We start from the raw sequence: 25,875 nt of genomic DNA, 5'->3' as shown, positions 1-25,875 counted from the left end.
GCTAAAAAATAGTGAGGACTTTTTTTTTCTCAGCCTTTCCTCCTGGTTGCAAGATGGTCTGTGCTTCAAATATCATGTCTGTGATCAAGGCAACATGGGAAGGGGCAGCTCTGGCCACAACTGCTCCTGTTATCAGAGGAGCAAAAGCTCTCCCTCACCACAAACTTCAGCTTATGTCTCATTGACCAGAACTGTGTCCTGTGGCCACCCAGCTGCAGGAGGGTCAGAAAGGTGGACGTTTGGCTGCACAGCCTTTGTAGCAGGAAGAGGCTGATGGGAATGGGTGCCAGATTAGCCAACCTCAACGGCCTGCTATGAGGCATTCTTTTTCCCTCTGGACTTGGTCTTTTGGGAGTAGGGGAGGGGAGGCTGGCATGGCAGGCAGCCGTCTTGTCACTTTGACTTGAGAGCCTCTCTAAGAATGGAGCAGTTCTAGTGATAGTGTTTGAGACCCTAGATCCAGCCATGCCTGAAGGCTTCTACTTTTTGATGTATCTGTTACATGAGAAAAAAATAGTAATAACAATGATAATAATTACATATCTATATCTTCTTTGCTTGAGCTCACTTTAGCTGGACTTTATTCTTTCTCTTGGGCAAGAGAGGCCTTGTGGTAGAGGAGGTAACACACAATGTTTGGAATTAGGCCTCCCTGGTCCCAGTCTTCATTCTGCCATGAGTTTGCTTTTGGTCAAGTCACTTCACCTCTCTGAGTTCCCAATGCCTAATCTGTAAAATGGGCTAGTGTGTGGATCGAGCCAGAGGTGGCAAGTGCACCATCCTGTCGTAGAGCAAACCCTCGACACAGCAGCCACCTCTCTCCTTCCTTTCACTCATCCCCATGAATGCTTGCAGTAGCTGGAGGTGAATGTGTTAGGCTGTTCTTGCATTGCCAGAAAGAAATACCTGAGACTGGGTCATTTATAAAGAAAAGAGGTTTAATTGGCTCACGGTTCTGTAGGCTGCACAGCAAACATGGTGGCATCAGCTTCTGGGGAGGTCTCAGGAAGTTTCCAATCCTGGTGGAAGGCAGAGGGGGAACAGGCACATCACCTGGTGAAGCAGGAGCAAGAGAAAGAGGCGGTGGGGGCCTCACACTTTTAAATGACCAGCTTTTACAAGAACTCCCTCCCTATCATGGGGACAGTACCAAGGAGATGGTGTGAAACCATTCATTAGAAATCCTCCTCCATGAGAAATAGGAACGCTTTTACACTGTTGGTGGGGGTGTAAATTAGTTCAACCATTGTGGAAGACACCGTGGCAAATCCTCAAGGATCTAGAACTAGAAATACCATTTGACCCAGCAATCCCATTACTGAGTATATACCCAAAGGATTATAAATCATGCTACTATAAAGACACATGCACACATATGCTTAGTGTGGCACTATTCACAATAGCAAAGACTTGGAACCAACCCAAATGTCCATCAATAATAGACTGGATAAAGAAAATGTGGCACATATACACCATGGAATACTATGCAGCCATAAAAAGGGATGAGTTCAAGTCCTTTGCAGGGACATGGATGAAGCTGGAAACCACCATTCTCAGCAAACTATCACAAGGACAGAAAACCAAACACCACATGTTCTCACTCATAAGTGGGAGTTGAACAATGAGAACACATGGACACAGGGAGGGGAACATTACACACTGGGGCCTGTCAGGGGGTGGGGGGCTGGGGGAGGGATAGCATTAGGAGAAATACCTAATGTAAATGACAAGTTGATGGGTGCAGCAAACCAACATGGCACATGTATACCTATGTAACAAACCTACACATTCTGCACATGTATCCCAGAATTTAAAGTATAATTTTAAAAAATCATAAAAAGATGTTTAATTCTATCATATGCTTTTTCTGCAACTGGTGAGAGAATCGTATGGCTTTTCTTGTCTTAGTCTGTGAATTATAGTAATTTTCGATTATTAAATTAATTTTGCATTCCTGATAGATATAAAAAAAGAAATCCTCCTCCATTATCCAATCACCTCCCACCAGGCCCTACCTCCAACACTGCAGATTACATTTCAATATATGATTTGAGCAGAGACACACCTCCAAACTACATCAGTGAATTTCCCAGCTGTGTTTGCTATGGCACTTGTTGCAATTTCTCTTTTTTCTTCAGACCAATGGCCTTAGGGCTGAGGACTCTCACTGATGTATTTCTGTATATACAGCCCATAGCACAGGCCCTGGTGCACAGTAGGTGCTCAGAAAATGCTTGAATTAGAAAGTACAATATTTCATTCACCCATTTTTCAAACATTTATTAAGCACCTACTGTATGCTAGGTATATAGTGGGCAACAGGGATATAGAAGTGAATGGCTTAGATATAGTCCTTATCCTCACAATCTAATGGGAAAGTGCTATGTTCTGAATGTTTGCGTCTTCCCAACATTTATATGTTGAAACTTAATTCCCATGTCATAGTGTTAGGATGTGGGGACTTTGGGAGGGAACCACGTCATGGGAGTGGAGCCCTCATGAATGGAATTAGTGCCCTTATGAAAGAGGCCCCAGAGCAGCCCCTTACCCATTCCACCATATGCAGACACAGCTAAAAGTCTCCCAGAGCCAGAAAGCAGGCCCTCAGTAGGCATCTAATCTACCCATGACCTGATTTAGACTTTCCAGCTTCCAGAACTGTGAAAATAAATTTATTTTTAAATTTTTTTTTTTGAGATGGAGTCTCGCTCAGTTGCCCAGGCTGGAGTGCAGTGGCTCGATCTTGGCTCACTGCAACCTCCACCTCCCGGGTTCAAGCCATTCAACTGCCTCACCCTCCCAAGTAGCTGGGACCCCAGGTGTGCACCACTACACCTGGCTAATTTTTGTATTCTAGTGGAGATAGAGTTTCACCATGTTGGCCAGGCTGGTCTCAAACTCGTGACCTCAAGCCTTGTCCTCTCAAAGTGCTGGGATTACAGGCTTGAGCCACTGTGCCCAGCCCAAATTTCTGTTGTTTATATACTACCCAGTTCATGACAATTTGTTATACCAACCTGAATAGGCTAAGACAAGAAGGCAGTCAACAAACAGATAAACAAATAAATTTAGAATATGATGCCAGATAGTAAAAGCAGCATGAATAAACAAAGTAGGGAAAAGGAGAAAGAGTTTATGTGAAGGATGCATTTTTATAGGGTGCCCAGGGAAGATCTCTTGAAGGGCAAATAGTTAAGCCTAGACTAGAATGTTAGGAAGAGACCCACTGGGGAAACAGTGATCCAGGCAGAGGGAGCAGCAAATACAAAGACCCTGAGGTTGGGCTTAGATGAACCAACGCATAGTAAATGCATGAACCTATGTATAGCAATCCCTGGGCTAAGAACATTCCTCCGCCCCAATGTGGAATTTTTTAAATGTCCACTTTAAGAAAATAGGCAAATTTGAGAATTTCTGTCATCCATACAACTTCTTCTTGCTGCCAACTCTCAGAAACGGATTCTGCCAAGGTCATGTTTGTGGGGAACCTGTGCCTGCCCTTTAGAATTTCTAGGCCTGGGCTTGCATGATTCTACCTTCCTGAGCAGCCCACTGTGCATAGGCTCTGGGCTCAAGCTTTCCATCCACTTACCCATCTAATCCTCCCCCACCCCCTGCATGGTAGAGACCATTATTTCACCTTCCAAAGGCAAAAACTGAGCTCAAGAAGGTTAAGTGATGTTCCCGGGTTCACTCAGCTAGAAGGTGGAAGGATTAGCCCAGGTTGTCCGAGGCCAGAGCCCCAAGACTGGCTGTCCTCCTGCAGCCAGGTTGTGCAGCAGTGTGAACTAGGCTGGGATCTCCACCCTCAGGGCTCAGAGTCTGCTCTGTTAGGGTCCAAGCCTTGTGTCACCCACATCTTTAGTGCATTGCTGGCTTTTCAGGTCCCAACTGTGGTACCTTGAACCCATCTCCTCACTTTGATGGAACTCAGTTTTTCTCAACCACAAAATGGGTATCATAGCACCCTGTTCCTTTGGGTGTGAATCTGGAAGAGTGGGGGCACAGTTAGTGGCCCACAGGAAGGCCTTGGCAAGTGTTCCCTGTAGTAGCAGCAACAATAATAATAATAATAACCACAATTGTCCCCAGGGACTGAGCCCTCTGAGTGCTGATGGTGATATATATTGATCTAATTTTATCTGCCAGCAGCTACACAAGGCTGGTAGATGCTACACTGACCCCATTTCACAGGTGAGAAAACTCAGGCTCAGATGAGCCAGATCCAATCACTGCAGAGTCTGTTTTTCTCAACCTCTTGCTCTCCCATAGTTGACCCTGTGATTGTTGTCAGTGCTGTTATTCCTTGTATTACCAACAGTGACAACATCCTCAGTGATTGGGGCAGTATGTGTTAAATGCCAGGTGCAGAACAGGAGGGAGGACGCTGTGAAGTGAGGGGCCAGAGATGGTTTCCTGGAAGGAGGGAACTTGAAGGATGTTGCTGCCACCTTGGGGTTGGGTGGGAGGCCTCAGCACTGCTGCCCCCGACTCTGATAGCCGGAGTAGCAGCATCACAAGGAAACGTGAATGTGAAAAGCCAACTAAGGACAGGGCAGAATTCACCCTGGCTGGAGGGAGGAAGCGCTTGCATCAGGAAGTCTTTGGCTTGAGGAGGACCTGAAACAAAGGCTGGGCCCAGGACGGGTTTCCAGGGGAAAGTTTCTGATTAGTGTGGGAGCAGGATGGCCACGGTAGGCGAGGCCAGGGTCCAGGGAGAGAAGAGGGTAGGCATGCCCTGTGGCTGGGATGGTCAAATGTTTGCTGCTTCCAATCCAGGCTGGGCTTCCCATGCTGTCTTCCCTACCTCCAGGTCCCGCTGGTTGGGGCTTGGGGTGTGGAGGGAAGGGGCATTCCTTTGTTAGGGAAACAGAAGCATAGGAGAGCCAGGGTGATGCCATTTTAAAATCAACTCTATCTTAAAGTTAGCAAGGCACATTCCTTCCCAATCACAACCCATGATCATAAGATATTCACAGCTAAGGAAGCCACTTAATAATACCTGCAAGGACAAACTCCTAGACAGCAAAATGTCCAGATGTTTCCATGTCACATAACAATGTGTGCTTTTAAAATAATTATAGTCATGCTTTGGTGTACTTACACATTAAAATGCCAAGGATAACTTTCTTTAAATCAACAGAGTCATGGATTTTGTCACACTGTCAGTCCACTCACATAGAAATAGCTTAGCTTTTACATGAATAAGACTCATATATAAGAAGAGTTTAAAACAAAGACAATGTGTTCCTCCTCTTGCTTTCTGAGAACACCCTTCTCTGTAACTGAGTAGCTTTCAATAAACTATCTGTTCTCAATGCACTTTGAGACTCGCCTTGACTTCCATCTTGTGTGAGGCCTAAGAACCCTTTTTTAAGGTTTGAATCATGGCCCCTTTTCTGGCAACATCTTCCTAGCGACCATGAAGGAAGCATAAGACGAGACCCTATGCAAAAGAAATTCAGTCTGCAGCACCAATTGGCCGCTTCTGGTAAGTGAGGTCCATCTTGGTGTACTATGTCAGGCTTAGGCAAGGACACTTGCCTAGAAACTCAGGCTAGAGGCCTGGCCCATGGAGTCAGAGGCCCAACTCACAGGGTTGGAGGCCCTGGGGTATAATACTCAGATCAGAGGCCCAAAGACCCATGGGGTTAGAGCCCCTGGGGTATATTTGGAAAAATGGAAGTAGCTTTGCAAGATGTTTGCTATGAACTAATCCATATTGTCCCCTTTGCCAGGTATGGGAATGCTGTAATTCTCATCGTTTCCCAGCTTGTTACCTTTGCTTTACTGCAGGCTTATGACAGCTCTGTATGGCCAGCCCAGAAGTTTGCTACTTTCACTTTCCATGCTTGCCTCTGATTATTGCTTCTAAAGCTCTCTTATCTATTTCTCCCTTTTCTTTTCTGCCTGCTTTAAATCTGCTGTTATTAAGCTGCTGGTGTTGAGATAAGACTCACTGTTTATGTATTACTAATTCAAGTCTACTTGGAGATTTTATTTTTCTTAACGCAGTTCAGTCAGTTCTAGATGAAATGGAAACATTAGAAGTTCATTTGACACTGAAGGAAAAAAAGTGGAAAAGGCTTTTTTAAAATTTAATTTCATGTATTCTTTTATTTATTCTTTATTTCTCTTTTTTTTTAGACAGGGTTTTGCTTTGTCACCCAAGCTGGAATGCGGTGGCACAATCACAGCTCACTGCAGCCTCAACCTCCTGGGCTCAAGTGATCCTCCTACCTCAGCCTCCCAAGTATTCGGGACCACAGGTGCACACCACCACACCCAGCTAATTTTTTTAATTTTTTATAGAGACAGAGTCTCACTATGTTCCCCATACTGCTCTCAAATTCCTGGTCTCAAGAGATCCACCTGCCTCGGCCTCCCAAAGTGCTGGGATTACAGGCAGGAGCCATCATGCCCAGCCAGGCTTTAAAAAAAAAATCTTTAAATCTTTTTTTAAATCTTTTTTTTTTTAACTTCCATAAAGACCACTTTACCCAAAATTTTGGTCCACAGCTTTCCTTAGATTACTCATCAGATGTCTGGGTTATTTCCAATTAAGAAAAGTTTATGATATGGGAAAGCATGTTTCTAAAATTATAGAATGGCTTTATCTATAAAATGCTAACATCTGACAAACAGCTCAGGATTTCTTGCTTTTTCCAGTTTTGGATTCACAGGCAGGTGAGTGCCCTTCCCTTTGTTGTCACTTTTCAGCCTAGCCTTCTGAGCCCCAGGAGACACAGGGACACTCATGTTCCTTTATATTCTCAGGGCCCAGGGGTTGGAGCCCCCCACTCAGAGTTGTTGGATCCTTTGGGCTGTGTCTGCTAGGGAGCCTGGAGTTGTGGGATCCTTCTGGTCAGCTGCCACCCTGTTGTGTGGCGTTTTTCTGCCATTAGGGGCCCAGGGTTGCAGTGTCACCCTGATGCATAAACTGTTTGAGGCTCAGAGGGATATTTTCCAGCACCTACTGCTTCTTGATCCCCTTGTCCCTTTTGATGACTACATATTTGCTGTCTGTGCCTCAGTAGTGACACATGTCGCCCTACGCTCACATGCTTTGAAGTTTACACTTAACATTTTCCTTCTGGTCTTGATGATTTTTGCTTCTTAGGTTGTTTAATTTGGCTTCTCTCTGGGTGATGTTAGAGGCCAAAAGCCTGCCAAGATCTAGTATTACTGAGAAAAAAATAATTTTGTCTAATTCAGAAGTTATCTGAATTGAAGGTCAATTCAAATTACGAACTTGAAAATGTTTACTTATGAAACAAGGTAGAAAGGGACCAGTAGGTAGGGGAGAGAGAGAGATGTAAAGAAAGTTATAAATATGAAGATGTATTTATGGTAAGAAAGGTTATAAAGAAAAGAGAATAATTTTATATGAAAAAGAGTCTTATATGGTAAATTTTTGTCCTAAAGTAAAATGACTGATTGTTTAGCAAAGAGGGAAGTTCAGGACAAGTCAGAGAGTCCAAGCATGTCGTAGATGGTCTATGTAAGTCATAAAGGGGAATTTGTAAAAGGGATTTTGCATATCATTAGTTATAAAAAAATTATTTATAATAATTTGTCTAAAAATTGGTCCCTTACATCAAAACAAGGTTTTCTTAAGATATTGATATGCTCTTTAAATAAATTATAGGAAATCTTACCTTTAATTTTATAACCTTTTTCTTTTTAAAACTTCTCAGAATCATATCTCAAAAGTTCAACTGTTGCTGTGCTGTTGAAAAAAACAGCTTTCAGCTGTTTCTCCCTTTGAGAATGCTTGAGATAACAACTCTCTCCTTTAATTTTTCTGTCAGCTTCTATAACTTTCTCCCTGCTCTGGTTCTAACTGTTATTATGGCCAAATGCTAACATATTGCATCTTGGAGGTCTAGAAAAGCAATGTTTTCCTCTAGTATAACTGCATTCTGTACACTGGCTTTTCTTGATATGTCTAAATTTTTGATGCAATCAGAAAACTTCTCATGCTGTTCCTAGGAGTCGTGTATTCCCCTGCTATATTCATAACCTTGAAAACAGTCTTCCTGTGTCTGATTAAATTCAAGCACTTTTTTCATCAAGTTTGACTTCCTGGTTATCTAAATGAGCTTCCAATAAGTAAAAGTAGTCACAATGCAGTAGGGCTTTTTTGCTTTTTTAGTAGATGGCTTAAAAAACTGAGATTTTATGTATTATCAAGATAATTTCTATGCTGTCTTTATTAGGTTTTTCATTGCTAAAGAAACTGAGATTTTAAAAGGGTTAAGGTTTTTACATCCATGTAACCTTCTGTATTGCCTTTAAAGTATTTCGATGATCACTTTGGGTAAATGAGTAAATGCTATTTTACCATGATCTGTGCTTCTGTTTTGATCAAATGTTTTGAGCCTTTTAACATCTTTAACAAACATCTTCAAAATCAAAATCCTAAATTAAGTCTCTGACTTAGTCATATTGCTGGGGCTTACTAAAGCCATAAAAATTAAGCACTGAAGATTGTAAGTCTTCACAGCTTCCAGTCAGACCATGAACTCCAGGATCACCACCTCCAGCCTGATAATTACATATATTGGAAGAACATCAATTAAAGGGCTCACTCTATCCCCCTCAAAAGTATCCTTATCAGGTGCTATTAACTAATCCTTGTGCTGTTAAGTTACAGGGCTTTGACTTCTGGGTCCAATATCTCATCTAAGGAAGGCACTGACTGCCAGGCACAGTGTCTCATGCCTATAATCCTATCACTTTGGGAGGCTGAGGCAGACAGATCACTTGAGGCCAGGAGTTTGAGACCAGCCTGGCCAACGTGGTGAAACCCTATTTCTACTAAAAATACAAAAATCAGCCAGGTGTGGTGGTACGTGCACATCTGTAATCCCAGCTGCTTGCGTGGCTGAGACATGAGAATTGCTTAAAGCTGGTAAGTGGAGGTTGCAGTGAGCCAGGATCATGCCACTGCACTCCAGCCTGGGTGACAGAGTGAGACTCTGTCCCAAAAAAGAAGAAGGCACTGACTTCTGCCAGTATCTGACACCAAACTCAAGTTGACCAAAGTCTCATCTTTAGACCTAGACAAAAGTGACAATCAAAATAAACTGCTTCCATAAGACACAGAGGCAGTCCTGTATTCAAAAACATTAAGACTCATTTAATAATTTTGCCTTTATCTGAAATAATATAATTTATTCTATGTCTTGATACTAAATAATTTAAATGTTTAGCTACCTGTGAACTTCCTTTCCTGTCACTCTCAAAACTAGGCAGGGCTTATGACCTTTTGTTTAAAATGTTGTTAATGCCTTATGTTTTGTTTTACCTCCAAAATTTGAAACTATTCAATTCCTCCATGCCCAGGGACTATCACATGAGATTGTAAGGGCCAGTTTTGAGGAATAAAATTAATTCTGACACTCCAAATCAAGGACAGGCACACAGATCCCTAAATAGCTAAACATAATTCTTGAGTTTGTATAGCTAATTGCCACAAACCAAGATTATAGTAGCTCTTGCATAGAATTTCTAAATAAGCCAATTTTATACCTTGCCTTCTGGCTTTTGATTTTTGGCTCTTATGTTGCTTAAAGAGGCTTTAAGGTTAATGAGTGCCTGCTCACCTCCATTCCCATCTGGCCTAGAACATTTGATTGGCTATAAGTCTTTTGACTCTAAGTTCCTTGACCATAAGTGTTCCACCAAGGGAGGTAATGGACCAGGGCAAGTAGGACACCACCCCAGCATTGATATGGGACACAATAAAAGCTTAGCCTTCAATACTGCCTCTGGCACCTCGACAAAATGGGATACCATAAACTAAACTAATAAATAAACAAATATCCTAAGCCACCCAACAGAATGGACCTCTCTCTTGGCAAAAGGAAATAATAATTTTTTAAAAATCCTGAACAACTGGTTCTGGCCATGATGGGAAGAGGGACTGGGGGGTCAAACACACCTTGCTGTACAATTCTCCCTCTTGGAATTCGGGCACAACCAACCAGCATTAACATTAAAACAGAGATCATAAGACTGATAGAATAGAAACTTTATAGCAAGAAGATTTCAAATTATAAACAGGATCTAAGACCATGCCTGGCAAGGATTAAGTCTCCACCTTAAGGTGAACAGAGTCATATGTTACATGCATGTTTGTTCAGTATACATGTGTCAGGACCATCTTCATAAATATTCTCTCCTGTTTGACCAGGAGATTTCATGCTATTGAAACCTTGGAAGGAGGGATCCCCTGCAGATCAGCTTTCCCCAAAATAGAAAGAGCCCTACCATGTACTTCCAGGCACTCCTACTACAGTTAAACTTAAGGGATTACATATTTGGGTACATTTATCCCAAGTTAAACCTGTCTCTCATGAAGTCCCACAGGCATCTGGTGCAGGGATCACCATTCCAGAATACTCCTGTGAGCCAATAGTGGATCTACGGCTTCTCTTCCAGAAAAAGCTATCCAGTGGATAAGTGATGCTCTGAAAATAAGACCACTGGTTTTAATGTTGAGCTTGCTCTATTATAGAGTTGGAGGATATCTGTTTGCAGAATGGGTACAAACTTTGTCAACCTCGGGCTTACCTTGGCATATCCAATCAGCTAATTTGAGTACAGAAAATATGTACTCTCCTTTTTCCAAAAGGACACACACCACTCTTTCTTCCCTTCCTCCACCGAAACCAAGAAATTCCTTCTTCATTTAATCCCAAATAACTTAATAGCATCCCTACCTTAGGCTATACCATACATGATGGACTCAGTTGGTTGACAGGTATCCAAATTCAGTTATCAGGCAAAGTACCCTTATGCCTTGGAAGGCATAATGGTTATGAGGACTAGGCTCTGATTTTTTTTTTTCTTGTCCAAATTCCTATCTAAGGGGTCTGGGAGTCATGCCCTACAAACCATAAATTCTCCTCAGATGGGTTTTATTTAACCCTACATATTGTGACTTACTTTCCGACCTGACCCTGGCATAATGTTATGAGACAAGGAAGAAAATTAAAATATTTTACCCGAAAACATGTTTCTTTGCTATATTTTGAAATGGTCTTGCAAAGCTGTCCTTTGTGGGGACAAATGTGCATCTGTAAAGAATCTCTATTAACATAGCTACATCTTTTTCTTCCAGGCCCTCCCAATCCTGAAGAGGTTAAGTAAGAGTCTAGCACCTTTTTAAAGGTCTAAATAGGAAATATTTGTCATCTATTGTCCCTGAGGGCAGCTACTATGAGACTTCAAAAGAACCTTGGTCTCCACAATCTTTTATCTTAACCTAAACATTTCCTTTCTATTGATCGTAGGTCTTTAGACAAACTCAACCAATTGTCAACCAGAAAATGTTTAAGTTCACCTATAGCCTGGAAGCCTCTCCTTCCCCCCACCGCTTTGAGTTGTCCCGCCTTTCTGAACTAAATCAATGTACTTCTTAAATGTATTTGATTGATGTCTCATGCCTCCCTAAAATGTATAAAATCAAGCTGTGCCCCAACCACCTTGGGCACATGTTCTCAGGACCTCCTGACGGCTGTGTCACAGGCCATGGTCACTCATATTTGGCTCAGAATAAGTCTCTTCAAATATTTTACAGAGTTCGACTCTTTTCATCAACAGTAACCACCCCCAAACCAACATCTATAGTATCGGATGGCTGCCACCCCAACAATGCAATCAGACTCTCCTTTCAATTGACCAAATGTGGATGGGATGGCAAAATGAATCTCTATGGTTAGGTGACTATCCTTCCCCTTGGGAATGGTTATGGGCATGTGGGTCTCATAGTTGGCCATACTCACCTTACAATTTGACTGGATGATGCACTTGGGGTCATCCCTACCTTCTAGGATGTATCCTTACACATCTGGATTCCCTCTCCACCAACTGGGAAGTAGTCAAGGTCTGTGATAGGCAACAGAAACAAACTTTTTGGTGGTTATATCCTGTGCCCATATTCTGTCTTTAAGCAACATCTATAGACGTTGAATCGCAGGTGGGAGCCCTAGCAAAACATACTGCTGTGGCTTTCAACAACACTCATCTGGTGATCACCCGTCTGACAGAAGAAACGTCCCGAATAAGACAAATGTCCTTACAAAGCCATATGGCTTTAAACATATTAACAGCAGCCCTGGGAAAATCTGTGCATTGATCAAGACTGAACACTGTGTCTATATTCCTGGTCACTCTCATAATATATCTCAGGCCATGAACTCCCTAGAGACTCATACCTCAGCAATTGACTTCCTGTCATAACAGCACAGTTTGGCCAGCTCCCCAGCACTTGGAAGGCATTCCTTTTTAGCATGCTTCGTGTTGTCACACTTATTGCTATTGGTTATTGTGCTTTTTACTTCTGTTGCACTTATTGCATGGGATTACGGAGATAAAATAGTCTGGCAGCTTATCTGCCCCTACACTTACTAAACCAAATCATCGGGATGTCATTCAAGTGAAGAGTTTCCCCGGCTCCCTACAAGGCTCTCTGCAAACTCTTATGAGAGAACTCTCTCCCAAAGGTCAACAACGTCCACTGTCAGCAGGAATAAGTTACAGAAAAATGACCTTCACCTTTCATCTCCCCTTAAGATTTAGGGTTCTCTCTTAAGTAGAGGGGGGATTATGTTTGGGAAACAGGAGCATAGGAGAGCTAGGGTGACACCATTTTAAAATCAACTCTATCTTAAAACTAGCAAGACACATTCCTTGCTAATCACAGCCCACAGTCATAAGATGTTTATGGCTAAGGAAGCTGCTCAATAATGCCTGCAAGAGTAAACTCTTACGACAGCAAAATGCCCAGATGTTCCAATATCACATAACAATTTATGCTTTCAAAACAATTACTGTCGTGATCTGATGTACTTACTAAAATGCCAAGGATAACTTTCTTTAAGTCAACGGTAATGGATTCTGTCACACTGTCGGTCTGTCTGCACAAAGACATAACTTAGCTTTTACTTAGATAAGACTCCTACATTAGAAGAGTTTAAAACAAAGACAGTGCGTTCTTCCTCTTGCTTTCTGAGGACATCCTTCTCTGTAACTGAGTAGCTTTCAATAAACTATCTCTTCTCAGTGCACTCTGCAACTCACCTTGAATTCTTTCCTGTGCAAGATCCACGAAACCCTCTCTTGGGGTCTGGATGGAGACTCCTTTTCTTTTCTTTTTCTTTTCCTTACTTTTTTTTTTTTTTTGAGACCGGGTCTTGCTGGAGTGTGGAGTGCAGTGGTGCCATCTTGGCTCACTGAAACCTCCGCCTCCCAGACTCAAGCGATTCTCATGCCTCCGCCTCCTGAGTAGCTGGGATTACAGGCATGCACCACCACGCTCGGTGAATTTTTGTATTTTTAGTAGAGACAAAGTTTCGCCCTGTTGGCCAGGCTGATCTCCAACTCCTGGCCTCATGGGATCGGCCTGCTTCGGCCTCCCAAAGTGCTTGTATTACAGGCATGAGCCACTGCACACAGCCACTATGCCTAATTTCAAGAGGGAAGGCCCTGGAAGGAGGAGATACCTGCAAGTCTTGGAGAGCACTAGGGATTGTGATTTACACTTACATGTTGATACTCTCCAGAAAACTTGGAAGGATGAGTACATTTTTGAGAAAGAGGCAGCAGGGAGAACCAAGAAGCAATAAGAAAGGTCACAGGTCACATCTAAGACCACCGTGATGTGAAAGAGGAACCCCTGGTTATGGGGTCCCCGCCATGTGATACTGACAGGTGCCATCTCATCCAATCTTCACAACGACTTTGAGGAGTGCGTATGTAATCCCCCATTGTACTGAGGAGAAAACTAAGGCTCAGCAACTTGCCCAAGGTTCCCAGCCAGTAACTGGTTGAGCAAAGAAAATGCTGGGTGGAACTGTATCAGGCTTGCTGTCTAACAGACCACCTCTAAAATTTAGTGGCTTAAAACATTTATTTTTCACATCTCTGCAGGCCAACTGGACTTTGCTTCTGGTCCGCACCAGTTTGGCTGGGCTAGATAGATGGTCTAGGATGGCCTCACTCACAAATCTGGTGGATGGTTTAGTATCAGCTGGGATGACAGGATGACTTGGCCAAGTGTGTCTCATCATCCCTCAGGCTAGCCAGGACTCATTCACATGGTGGTCTCAGGGCCCCAGGTGCAGCAAGAGAGCAAGCCCCAGAGCACAAGCCCTTTTCAAGCCTCTGCTTGAAAATGTCCCATTGGCCAAAGCAAGTCACATGGCCCAAGTCAGCATTAAGGGAGTGGAGAAGTGAACTTTGCCTCTTAATAGGGAGAACTGCAGAGTCACACTGCAAAGGAGCATGCTTATAGGGGTGGGTAGCATCTGTGGTCAGTTTTGCAATCCTACCACAAAAACAAACCCTGTTGTCCAACAATAGGGAATTGGTTAAGAAAATCCCAGCAACACCCCAATGGAGGCTTTCAGCTTATGCCACCTTGAAACACCCACATATAGAACAATATTCTGCACAGGAAAATAGTTCCGTAATATACTATTAAGTAGGGAAAGCAGGCTATGTAATTACATGTACGATTTCACAGCCATCAGATTGGAACAAAGGTAAAGCATGACCATCTCAAGGGATGGCAGGGGTGCGGAGCGATGGAGACCCCGGCACCCTACTGGAATTAACTCGACAGAGAGACTTGGAGCACAATTTGGCAACTGCCTCAGGCTGGCAGCACATATATTCCACGACCCAGGAGGAGCATGCCTGGATTAGTTCCCCAGAGGAGCCCTTGCTTGTAAGCACAAGTATTCCCATATAAGATGGTAATAGCAGTATTGTCAGGAATAACAAGATAACTGAATTAATTTAAATATCCATCTGCCAAAAACTGGATAAAGAGTTAAAAATTACATAATGCAATGCTGCACAGCAGTGAAAAGAAAATGTCCTTGGTCACAAGATCTATATGTGTCATTTATATCAATCTGGAAAATATAATATAAGCAGGACGTCGCATTCAGTATAACAGCATATACTTAAGTTTTGAGAACACAAAAATATTATACATTATTTATATACCTAGATATGAACCTATGGGCAGGGTGGGAGAGAAAATGAGACCAAGAAGGAGTTATAAGGAATACTGACATTTCCTGTAATATTTCATTGTTTTAACAATCGAAGACAAATATGCAAAATGTTAACATGGGCCCACTTGGAGTGATGACTATATGGGGGTGTATTTTGTTATCCTGTGCACTTGTCTGATTTTTTTTTTTTTTTTTTTGAGAAATAGTTTCCCTCTGTCTCCCAGGCTGGAGTGCAATGGCATGATCTCGGCTCACTGCAACCTCCGCCTCCTGGGCTCAAGCATTTCTCGTGTCTCAGTCTTCTGAGTCGCTGGGATTATAGGCGTGTACCACCAAGCCTGGCTAATTTTGTATTTTTAGTAGAGATAGGGTTGCACCATGTTGGCCAGGCTGGTCTTGAACTCCTGGCTTCAATAGATCCACCTGCCTCGGCCTCCCAAAGTGCTGGGATTACAGACATGAGCCACCACACCCGGCCAACATAAATTCCAATTGGAAGTCTGGAGATTTCAGTATTTTTTTTTTAAGAGACAGGGTTTTGCCATGTTGGCCAGAATGGTCTCGAACTCCTGAGCTCAAGCGATCCTCCCACCTCGGCCTCCCAAAGTGCTGGGATTCCAAGCATGAGCCACCGTGCCTGGCTCTAAATTTTTTTCCAGAAGAAAAATCCAAAGTAAGTAAAAGAAAATTAAAAAATTGTTGAGACAATATTCCTTTGTTTGTTGATTTTTTTTTTTTTTTGCTAGAAAATCTACCAAAAAAAATATGCATCTATATGCAGAGGAAAATTATTTGGGGGGAAAAAACTCCAAAATGTTAGCTATGGTTTTTGCCTCTGGCTGGTGAGAGCACAGGCAACATTTATTTTCGCTTTCTTGCCAATATGTATTTTCTGGCTTTTCTATGAGGGACATGTTGTGCTTGTTTAATGAAAACAAAACACAGAGGGGCCTGTTGGTTTTCTCGGTCACAGGGTCCTCTGGGTCTTTATGGGGTCCCAGGTTCCAAAATAGATCTGCCCTCTGACCTGGCAGGCTTATTCTTCATATCCTGGAGGGAGTGCCAGATGTGGGTTCAGAGGCAACCGAGCTCCCCAGGCCTGAGAAAGAACAGGCATGGCTGGTGGCCCAGACTGGGCACAGCCAAGAGAATGCATGTCCTCCGCCCTTATCCCCTCAGCCTCTGAGGAGGCAGAGCCAGGATGCTCTCATGGTTCAGAGAGGAAGCTGAGGCCAAGGAAGATACCCCAGGAAGTAGTAACAGCGTTACTAACAGAAGAAGCAGCTATGTCCCAGGCCAGTCTTGCTCAGACTGGGTGCTGCTGATACACTGGGTGACTTGGGACAAATCCAGTGGGTTTCTGGGCCAATTTCTCCAGCAGCCCTGATGGAAATTATCCTGCTTCCTCCTGCACCTTTAGCTCTCACAGGTTCTGAAGGATATTTTTATGCAAAGAGATGCTGGGTCTTTCCAATAATCGCAAAGATAATAATAACAGCTACCAACTATCAAGCACTTACATGCTAAACACTTAAATGGCATTTTCTCATCCGACCCTCCCATGGCCAGTTGTATTTTCTAAAAATGGCCATAACAGGCCGGTCACTATGGCTCATACCTGTAACCCCAGCACTTTGGGAGGCCGAGGCAGGTGGATCACTTGAGGTCAGGAGTTCGAGACCAGCCTGGCCAATGCGGTGAAACCCTGTCTCTACTAAAAATACAAAAATTAGCCAGACTTGGTGGCATGTGCCTGTAATCCCAACTACTTGGGAGGCTGAGGCACGGGCATTGCTTGAACCCGGGAGGCAGAGGTTAGAGTGAGCTGAGATCACACCACTGCCCTCCAGCCTGGGCAACAGAGGGAGACTCTTTCTCAAAAATAAATAAATAAATAAAAATTTAAAAATAAACAAAATAAATAAATAAAAATGGCCACAACACTATCCCCCATCCTATACCTTCTTCTGAAACCTTGATCCTCCTCATCAAGAGGTAGAGTCTGTTCTTCCTCCCCTGGAACTTGAGTGGGACTTTGTGGTTGCTTCTTTGACTAGATACAGAGGACTTGGCCCTGCATGATCCATGAGGCTAGGTCATAAAGATCACCTACCTTCTGCCCAAATCTCTCTCCTGAGATGCTTGCTCTGGGAAGCAGCCACCATGCCATGAGGAAGCCCCTAGCCACATGAAGAGGCCATATGCAGTTGTCCTTGCTGAGTGCCCCAGCTGAGGTTTCAGATATGTGAGTGGATGAGTTTTGGATGCAAACCCCAGCCTGCAAGTTGCTCCAGCTGACACGGAATGGAGCACAGTTGAGCTTTTCCCAGGGAACCTGGCCACAATTGCAGATTTGTGAGTAAAGTAGATGTTGCCACTGCTTTAAACCACTAGATGTGGGGATACTTTGTTACACAGTATCAGTAACTGGAAGACCCCACCACCACCGCCTTCCCAGTGAGGGATTATTTTCTCCATGTTATAGATGAGGAAACTGAGTCTCATCTACTGAAGGGAAGTCAAGATTGAGCATCAGGAATGTGGGGCTCTTAACAGCTGGGCCTGGGTCACAGGGTGACCTCAAAACCCACCCTAGGCCCCTTGTGATCCAGGAATTCTGTTTGGCTCTAGGTCTGGGTTGGTAGAAAGTGGAGGAGGGCAGTCAACCGACTTCTGTCTTGGGTGGAAAGGCTCACGGGGCCACCATGATGTCTGCTGCACAAGATTCACCACCAGACCTTCTGAGGACACACAGACCATCCCCCGGGGTTGTCGATGGCCCCACAGCTTCCCACCAGGCTCTTGCCATGTTGCCATCAGTAGCTCTGGGAGATGCCCAGGCAGTGTCCTCAGGGGCATGAGCAGCACAGGACCAGAGGCCTGGGGTCTGTTTCAGCTGCCCCACGTGCAACCCTCAATGATCATCCAGGGTGTTGAAATGCAAGGAGTTGCCAAGGGAGGGGCTGGCAGAAGGGCTGGATTGTGGGAACAACCCAGGAGTGACCCTCTCCCCAGAGTGGGAGATTCAGACTGGGGACAGTCTTCTTCTTTTGGATCCAGGTACTTCAGGACCCCAAATTGGCAAGTGGTCCTCCCGGAATGACCCTGTTTTCCCACCCTTCACTCCTAGGAGCAGGAAGTTCTGTTCTTCCAGGAAAATAGATTCCAGCATGTAACACTGGGCAAGTGGCCTCCCTCTCTGAGTATCAGTTTCCTCATGAGTGAAATGCAAGGTAAGGGTCCATGGCATCTCTAGTTACTCCAAGAGTCCATCAGCTCTGAGCGGGAGGTGGGTTCACTTGGTGGGTGGCGGGATGGAGAGTCAGGGTGCAGGCAGGCAGGTGCTTTATGCCCAACAACTCCACCCGCCTCCTGATCATTCTACTCCAGGTTTTCTTGAGCGTCACTGTACCCCACCCTTAGTCCCTTCCGATCCTGTGAGGTTGACCTGCTCCAAGGCTCCAGGCCTGGACACAGGATCCAGCCTGACCATCCACAGTAGCTCCTTCCTCTGGCTATAATAGTTGGTTCAGGAATGACTGTACGGCTCAAGCTGGAACTTTTCCAAGAACTATTAGGAAAGAGGCACTCTTAAAAGAGGTTACTGAGTTGATAGATTGGAGCTGCTGTTGCCAGTAGTGGTGGTGATTATGGTGGGAACTCTTACAGAATGAACCCAAAGGAAAATAAGGAAATGAAGGAAAATAAGAGCCTGGAGTTGGAGGAAAAAAAAAAAATCTAATATCATTTGAGCACCTGGATCCAGCCATGCCTGAAGCTCGATACCCCTAAAATTTTCAGTTAAATTGGCCAATAAATTCCCTTTTTACCCAAGCTATTTGAACAAAAGCCAAAGTATCCAGGTGGATATAAGTTTATTCTCCGTTCTCTACCTCCATGGTAGCAGCAGACAATGGGAAAATCAACATGGGTTGGTTTGTTTTTAGGATTTGGAGGCCAGACACTCAGAACAACTCACACAGAACTTCCTGCTGCCCCTGCTGGAGAGGAAAGGGGACTGCCTTCCTCTCTGCTTTGGGCCTGCAGCTCCTATTCATTCAACATAACACTCATGAGGACCCACTGTGAGCCTAACCTTAGGACAGGCAACAAACACAGAAATGGAAAGTGTGACAGCAAACCTAGAAGAGTGTTCAGTCTAGACGGTGACCAAGGCCTGCAAACAAGCCTTTCTAATGCAGGATGAGTGCTTTGGTGAGGGACAGGCAGGCAGGGGCCTTTGAGCTCCCAGAGGCAGAAGGCCTACTCCCATTGAAGTGGGAGGGACAGATGCAGAAAGCCTTCCCAGAGGAGGTGATCCCTGAGATAAGATCAAAAGACAGGCAGAACGAAGCTGGGACAATACAGGTGGGGGGAAGTTTTTAAGCAGAAGTTTCCTGCTAGGAGCATAGACACTGAGGCCTCAGAAGGCGGAAAGCATGCGGGGGAGTAAAACCAATTCCAAATGATAAGGTATAAAGTGCCAGGGAAACAGTGATGAGAATGGAGGCCACATCCGGCAGGGGCTTGTAAACCACAGAAAGAGTTGGAGTTCAAAACTGAAGAATTTTAAACAAAGAAGTCAGGGCTGGATTGTGTCTTAGAAAAATCACTCTGGGCTGGGCATGGTGACTCACACCTGCAATCCTAGAACTTTGGGAGGCCGAGGTGCGTGGATCACCTGAGGTCAGGAGTTTGAGACCAGCCTGGGCAACATAGTGAAACACCGTCTCTACTAAAAATACAAAAATTAGTTGGGCATGGTGGCGTATGCCTGTAATCCCAGCTACTGGGGAAGCTGAGGCAGGAGAATCACGCGAACCGGGGAGATGGAGGTTGCAGTGAGCCAAGATCATGCCACTGCACTATAGCCTGGACAACAGAGCAAGACTCTGTCAAAAAAAAGGAGAAAGAAAGAAAGAAAGAGAAGAAGGAAAGAAAGAAAGAAAAAAGGAAGGAAGGAAGGAAGGAAGGTCACTCTGGTTGCAATAGCAAAGGCCAATTAACCAGAGTTCACTTCTGAGGCTGTTGTTCTCCCTACAAGAGAGGAAGCACCCCGGTCTAAGAGAGTGATGGTGGGGTGTCTTAGCCCATTCAGGTTGCTATAACAAAATGCACTAAGCTGGGGGGCTTATAAACAACAGAAACTTATTTCTCACAGTTCTGGAGGCTGGGAATTCCAAGATCAAGGCACCAGCCGATCTGGTGTCTGGTGAGAGCTCCCTGCTTCATAGACGGTGCTTTCTTACTGCAACGTCACCTAGCAAAAGGGAAGGCCAGCTGTCTAGGACATGTTTGATAGGAGCGTTAATCTCATTCCCAAGGCAGAGTCCTCACGAGCTATTCACTCCCAAAGGCCCCACCTTCTAATACCATCACCTTGTTGACTAAGTTTCAATAGATCAATTTGGGGGCACACAAACATTCATATCATAGCAGGGAGTAATGATGACAGCTGTCACTGGTTGAGCATGTATTATGTGAAAGGCTCTGTGTTAACCTCACTGCAGGAATCGGTCTTTTAGCCACTGTAACATCACTATTTTGACAGAAGAGGAAACTGAGAGACAGGTTAGGCAACTTGGCAAAAGGCACACAAATAGGGGGTCAGGAAAGCCAAGATTCCGATCCAGATGTGCTGGCTCCAGCATTCTGAGTAGTGAAGAGGTGACAGAGGGGGAAATATCTAAAGGATCATGTTGGAAGAACAGGTCTGATTGGATGGTAAGGTCAGGAGCAGAGTGAGGGATGAGGGAAGCCTCATGTTTCCCAGGCAGGGCCTGCTACCTAATTTGTGGAACTCAATGAAGAATGCAAGTGCTGAGTACTTTGTTCCAAATGTATTAAGAATTTCAAGACAGTGCTGGCAGAGTGTAAACCAAGCATGGGGCCCATCTAAGCTTGGGGCCTGGTGTAACTGCCTCGTTGGGATTATCAAGCAGCTCAGTCAAGACAATCATAATGACGACCACCATTCACACTGCCCTTCTCTGCACCCAGAGCTGTGATAAGCTATCAGTCCACATTACTCTCACATGGTCAGGGTGCTATGACCCCATTTACAGCTGAGGCAACTGGGGCCAAGCGGGGCACGCAGAGCTCAGAGCATGTGGGAAGGCTCAGGGGAGGCTGGAGGCTGATAACCAGCTGCTTTTCCTTTGCCTGCAAAAGCCCCACACCTGGTATAATGTTCTCAGTCCCCAGATGAGACCACAGTTCACAGCTGCCCAGAAGCAGCCTGCCCCAATTCAAAACTCTATCGGGATTTGAGAGAACAAAAAGGAAAATACTAAACAGCCAGACTGGCCCCTACTCTGAGGAAACAAGCAGGGAGAGAGGAAAAGCCCAAACAGCTGGCAGAACATAAAGGCAGCCCATGCAGGAAAGGCCCCACCAACTCCTGGGCACCTTCTGCCTGGAGACCATGTCCCCCAGGGACAAATCCCTGCCCTAGAGGAGTTTATGCTCCAGTGGGTCGTGGGAGGGGAGGTGCAATGACAACTATAACATTGACAACGGAAAATATTTATTTAGTGCTCGCTCTGTGCCAACCTTGCTCTAACTCACCTAATTTTCATGCCATGTGAAGTAGGTGGTATTATTTTCCTCATTCAGGAGGAAATGAAGGCACAGAGAGGTTAAGTGACTTACTCAAAGTCATACAGCTGGTAGATGGTAGAGCCAGGATTTGAACCCAGAAGCTGAAAACTTCTCCATCCCCATGCTGAGGACTCACACGCATTCCTCCTGCAAGAGATAAGGTTTACCCAGTTTACAGATCAGGGTGTGGAGGCCCAGAGAGGCACAGCTGCCCACCCTAGGTCTCGTGGCCAGCTGTCGGGGAGCGAGATCTAGGGTTAGCCTCCTGGCACTCCAACCTCCTCTCCCCACTGCCTCCTCTCCACATCCCCACTCCAGCAGCCCCAGGACAATCTGCCCCAGGACATGACAACTTCTCATTACTGTTACAAGCAACCAAGCCAGGGCCATCCTGGGGCATACCACTTTCCCCTGGCCCTGAGGGAGAAGAGAGGACAGGAAGCAACTCCCAGCTGGGTTGCTCACTTGCCCCACCTTGGAAGGATTTTCTGTGTCTCCAGAGGCAAAGTGGATTCGCTGGGCCCTCCCCAGCCTCACCCCTCTGCCTCCTCCCCTCCCTCTGCTCTCTCCGGGGGTCACTTGTACTCCAAGCGCTAACATGGAACCAGAGGGAGGAAGGTGCAGCGGGGAGAGAAGGGGATGGCAGCGGGACTGAAACTTGAGATCTTAGACTTGGGGGGCAGGGGATGGGGGTGGAGGGAAAGAGGGAGACCAAGACAGAGACAGGAAGGGAGAGTTAAGTTGCATTTGGTTTTCCAAAGCGGGCAGCATTGGAGCTTGGCGTTTGTGTGTACATGAATGTGTGTGCGTGTCAGCGTGCGTGTGAGTGTGTGCTCGTGAGTGTGTGCATGAGTGTGTGCGCGTGTCTGTGTGCTGTTTTCTTCCCTCCCCTCCAGCAGGGAAGCCAGGCCTCACTGGATAATCAGAGGGCTCAGAGGTGAGGCAGACAGAGCAAGGTTGGTGCACGCTTAGGGTAAGGGCGACGTGCCACCAAGACTGAGGAAGGAGGAAGGGAAGGAGTGAAGAATAGAGGTGAGAGGGTGTCGGGTGGGGCCGGAGGGAGGCGGTGAGAGGAAGCAAGCAGAGCAGCCGTGGTATTCAGAGCAAGTATAAATAGCTGCCTGGACAGAGCTCGGCCAGACAGAGGTTTGTAGCTGCAGCTGCAGGCAAGCCTGGCCACTGTTGGCTGCAGCAGGACATCCCAGGCACAGCCCCTAGGGCTCTGAGCAGACATCCCTCGCCATTGACACATCTTCAGATGCTCTCCCAGCTAGCCATGCTGCAGGGCAGCCTCCTCCTTGTGGTTGCCACCATGTCTGTGGCTCAACAGACAAGGCAGGAGGCGGATAGGGGCTGCGAGACACTTGTAGTCCAGCACGGCCACTGTAGCTACACCTTCTTGCTGCCCAAGTCTGAGCCCTGCCCTCCGGGGCCTGAGGTCTCCAGGGACTCCAACACCCTCCAGAGAGAATCACTGGCCAACCCACTGCACCTGGGGAAGTTGCCCACCCAGCAGGTGAAACAGCTGGAGCAGGCACTGCAGAACAACACGCAGTGGCTGAAGAAGGTACGGGGCATGGGAGGTTTGCAGGGGGCAGAGGGCGGCTTTGGGGTCTGTCACAATCAGCAGGTGGAGTGTCCATCCAAGAGGCCTTCCCTGAGCACAGAGGGCTGTCTCTGAGCTGCACAAAGAGGGGCAGGGGTGGGTCTGAGGCCACACAGCAAGATTGGGCAATGTCAGCTGGCAACCTGGCTCTTTAACTGCCGTCCCTTCATTCATCCAACAGAAATCCATTCAGCCCTGACCAAGGGCTGAACGGACCAAGCCTTCCTGGGTGCTGGGGATACGACAGTATAGTATGTCTCCCTCTGGACTAGTAGGGGAAAGAGGCAGTAAGAGATAATCTACTATGTCAGATGGTGAAGCAAAATGAAGAAGAAAGAGGGCAAGTGGCGGCCCTGGGTGGCTGCTTGAGGTCAGATCATTAGAGAGTACTTCTCAGAGGAGGTGACATTTGAACCCAGAGAACAAGGGAAATGATAGAGTGGGCCAGGCAGGTATTTGAGGGAACGTTCTGCAAAGGGAGCTGCATGTATTTTGACCGTGAGGAGGGAATGCATCCGCAGCGGTGTGTGCCTGGAGAACCATGGGGCGAAGGCCTGTGTAGCTGGAGCAGAGGAGAGGGAGCAAGGGTGCGGGGAGGTCTGAGAGGTGACAGCAGGGCAGGCCATGCAGCTGGGGGGGGGGCCACTGGAAGGACTTCAGCTTTTGTTCTGAGTGTCATGGGAGCCACTGCAAGGTTGTGAGCAGAGACAGACACCCGTGATTCGATTTCAACAGCATAGACTGTAGGAGGCAGGGTGGAAGGAAGAAGCCCAAAGAGGTGGCCGCTGCAGCCATCAGGTGCAAGGTACCGGAGGCCTGGAGCAGAACGGGGCTAGGAGGGGGTGTGGCCAGTAAGATTCTGGTGGGTTCTGGAGGTAGAGCCCATCAGCTCTGCTGGTGAATTGGATGCGGAGTGGGAGGAAGCAAGGAGCTGAGGATGCCACTGTGGTTTTGGCCCAAGACCAGGGCTGCTGTAGAATGCCCTGTCATGCTTTCGTCTTTCAGCAGTGTGAGCACCTATTGTGTACCCTCGGAGAAGCACTGACTACAGAGGTGTGCAAAGCAGGCTTGGCCCTGGCGGGGCATGAGGGTACAGGAGACATCCTGGGGGGTCTGAGATGGGACTCTTCAGAGTCCCTAAGTGAGAGCTACCAAGGAAAGGGAGAGGGACCCAGGAGACAGTCTGGGCGATGACTGAGGAATGAAGGATGCGAACTAATTCCTGGAGTTTTAGAAGGTATTAAACAGCAGACAAGCTTGACAACCACCTCTGGCTCCAGGCAGGATAGCTGTCCTGGCTGCCCCCCTGGCTCCCTGCTAACACTCGGCCCCCACCTCCTGTTCTCCATGCAGCAGACCAAAGAATCCCCATCAAAACCTAAGTTACATCCTCTCCCTCCTCCCAGGGCTAACCATGCATCCGAATAAAAGCAAGAACCCTTACTCCCTGGAGTTCCCTCTCCCAGACTCCCACTTTGCTTACCCCAGCCTCCTATCCTCTCCAGCGCCATCTCCCCAGAGGCCCTCCTTGTCCTCCCCGTACGAAATAACCACCTTCCTCTTCCACCCTTTGTCCCTCTGCTGGCTTTGTTGTGTTTTTTTTTCTTAGAACTTATCCCTACCTAATGTTCTTAAAAACATTTCTTTTGGTGTGTGAGCTCCCAGAGGGCAGGCGCCATGTCTCTTTTGCTCACTTCTGGGTTCCCAGGGCCTAGAATAGTGCCGAACACACAGTAGGTACTCAATAAATGTCTGTAGCATGAGTGAATGCATGAATGCATAAATGTCCTTCCAATCTCTCAGGTCCCAGGTCTCCATCCTGCTCCGTGATGACACAAAATTGGCATTGATGGGATCCTGAGCCCAAAACCCATGACCTGGATCTCCCCCAACACCTCCCTGAGGGTCCATGGGTGTCTCAACTCCAAAGCTGCCTGAGACGACTCCCTGCTCTTCTCCAAACACCCTCCTCCTGCCTGTCTGTCTCTGTTTAGGGTGACACCACCACCCAGCCACAGGCTGTGCCCTGGGGGCTTCCTGTGGCTCCCACCTATCCCCCAGGCAGCTGGCCCAGCCCATCCTGTGGCCTAGGCTTCTCTCATGGTCCATCTTTCTGGCTTAGGCCTCGTCATCTTTCCCAGGATGCTGTCATCACCTCCCACTGGGCCTCCTACCCCAAGTCTCACCTCTCACTCTCATCCATCTTTGAATCCCCTGGGTGTCGGATGCTTGGGAAACATTGGCTGAGAGCTGATGGCTTGAACTGATGGCTTGCAGGATCAGAAGGTCACCTGGTCCAGTGCCTCAGCTTGGGGTGGAATGTCCTCTCCAGGCATCCATTCACCTAGCCTGAAAATTCTGAGCTAGGGTCAGTCAGGTCACCGTAGAGTGCCGTAGGGCCTAAGATCTCTGATATGGGAGTTCAGCTGACCTGGCTGCAGGTACTTCCTTACCAAATGGCTACAGATGAGCAGGTTTCGGTCTCCCTTGGTTCATGTAAACAATAATTTCTCTCTGCCCCCTCTGACACTCCTGGTCCCCAGTGGGGAGTGCTTGCTACCTTCTGTGGCTGTGGCTGTGACCTTCCTCTGGTTCTTCTCTTGGTCCAGGCATATCTCAGATCTTCTGAAACTCAAA

At 46.3% G+C, this 25,875-nt stretch overlaps 1 protein-coding gene and 1 long non-coding RNA gene across 4 annotated transcripts in view; one reads left to right on the top strand and one right to left on the bottom strand.

The window, feature by feature from the left end:
• Positions 1-888: 888 nt before the first annotated feature.
• Positions 889-25,666, bottom strand: LOC105372492 (uncharacterized). The gene is made up of 3 exons (XR_937185.3): positions 25,425-25,666; positions 21,684-21,779; positions 889-1,019 (listed from the first exon to the last, which is right to left on the bottom strand). It is a non-coding gene; the product is annotated as an uncharacterized LOC105372492 (long non-coding RNA).
• Positions 22,771-25,875, top strand: part of ANGPT4 (angiopoietin 4) — a 46,435-nt gene continuing 43,330 nt past the window's right edge. For all 3 annotated transcript variants that reach the window (XM_011529239.4, NM_001322809.2, NM_015985.4), the window contains exon 1: positions 22,771-23,199. In XM_011529239.4, the coding sequence (XP_011527541.1) occupies positions 22,891-23,199 (309 nt within the window). In that variant the 5' untranslated portion in view covers positions 22,771-22,890. The remainder of the gene's footprint in view (positions 23,200-25,875) is intronic.

This window comes from Homo sapiens, chromosome 20, assembly GCF_000001405.40.
Source record: "Homo sapiens chromosome 20, GRCh38.p14 Primary Assembly".
Classification (NCBI taxonomy): domain Eukaryota; kingdom Metazoa; phylum Chordata; class Mammalia; order Primates; family Hominidae; genus Homo; species Homo sapiens.
The sequence above is the reverse complement of the archived record's forward strand: the minus strand, read 5'-3'. Positions and strand labels throughout refer to the sequence as shown.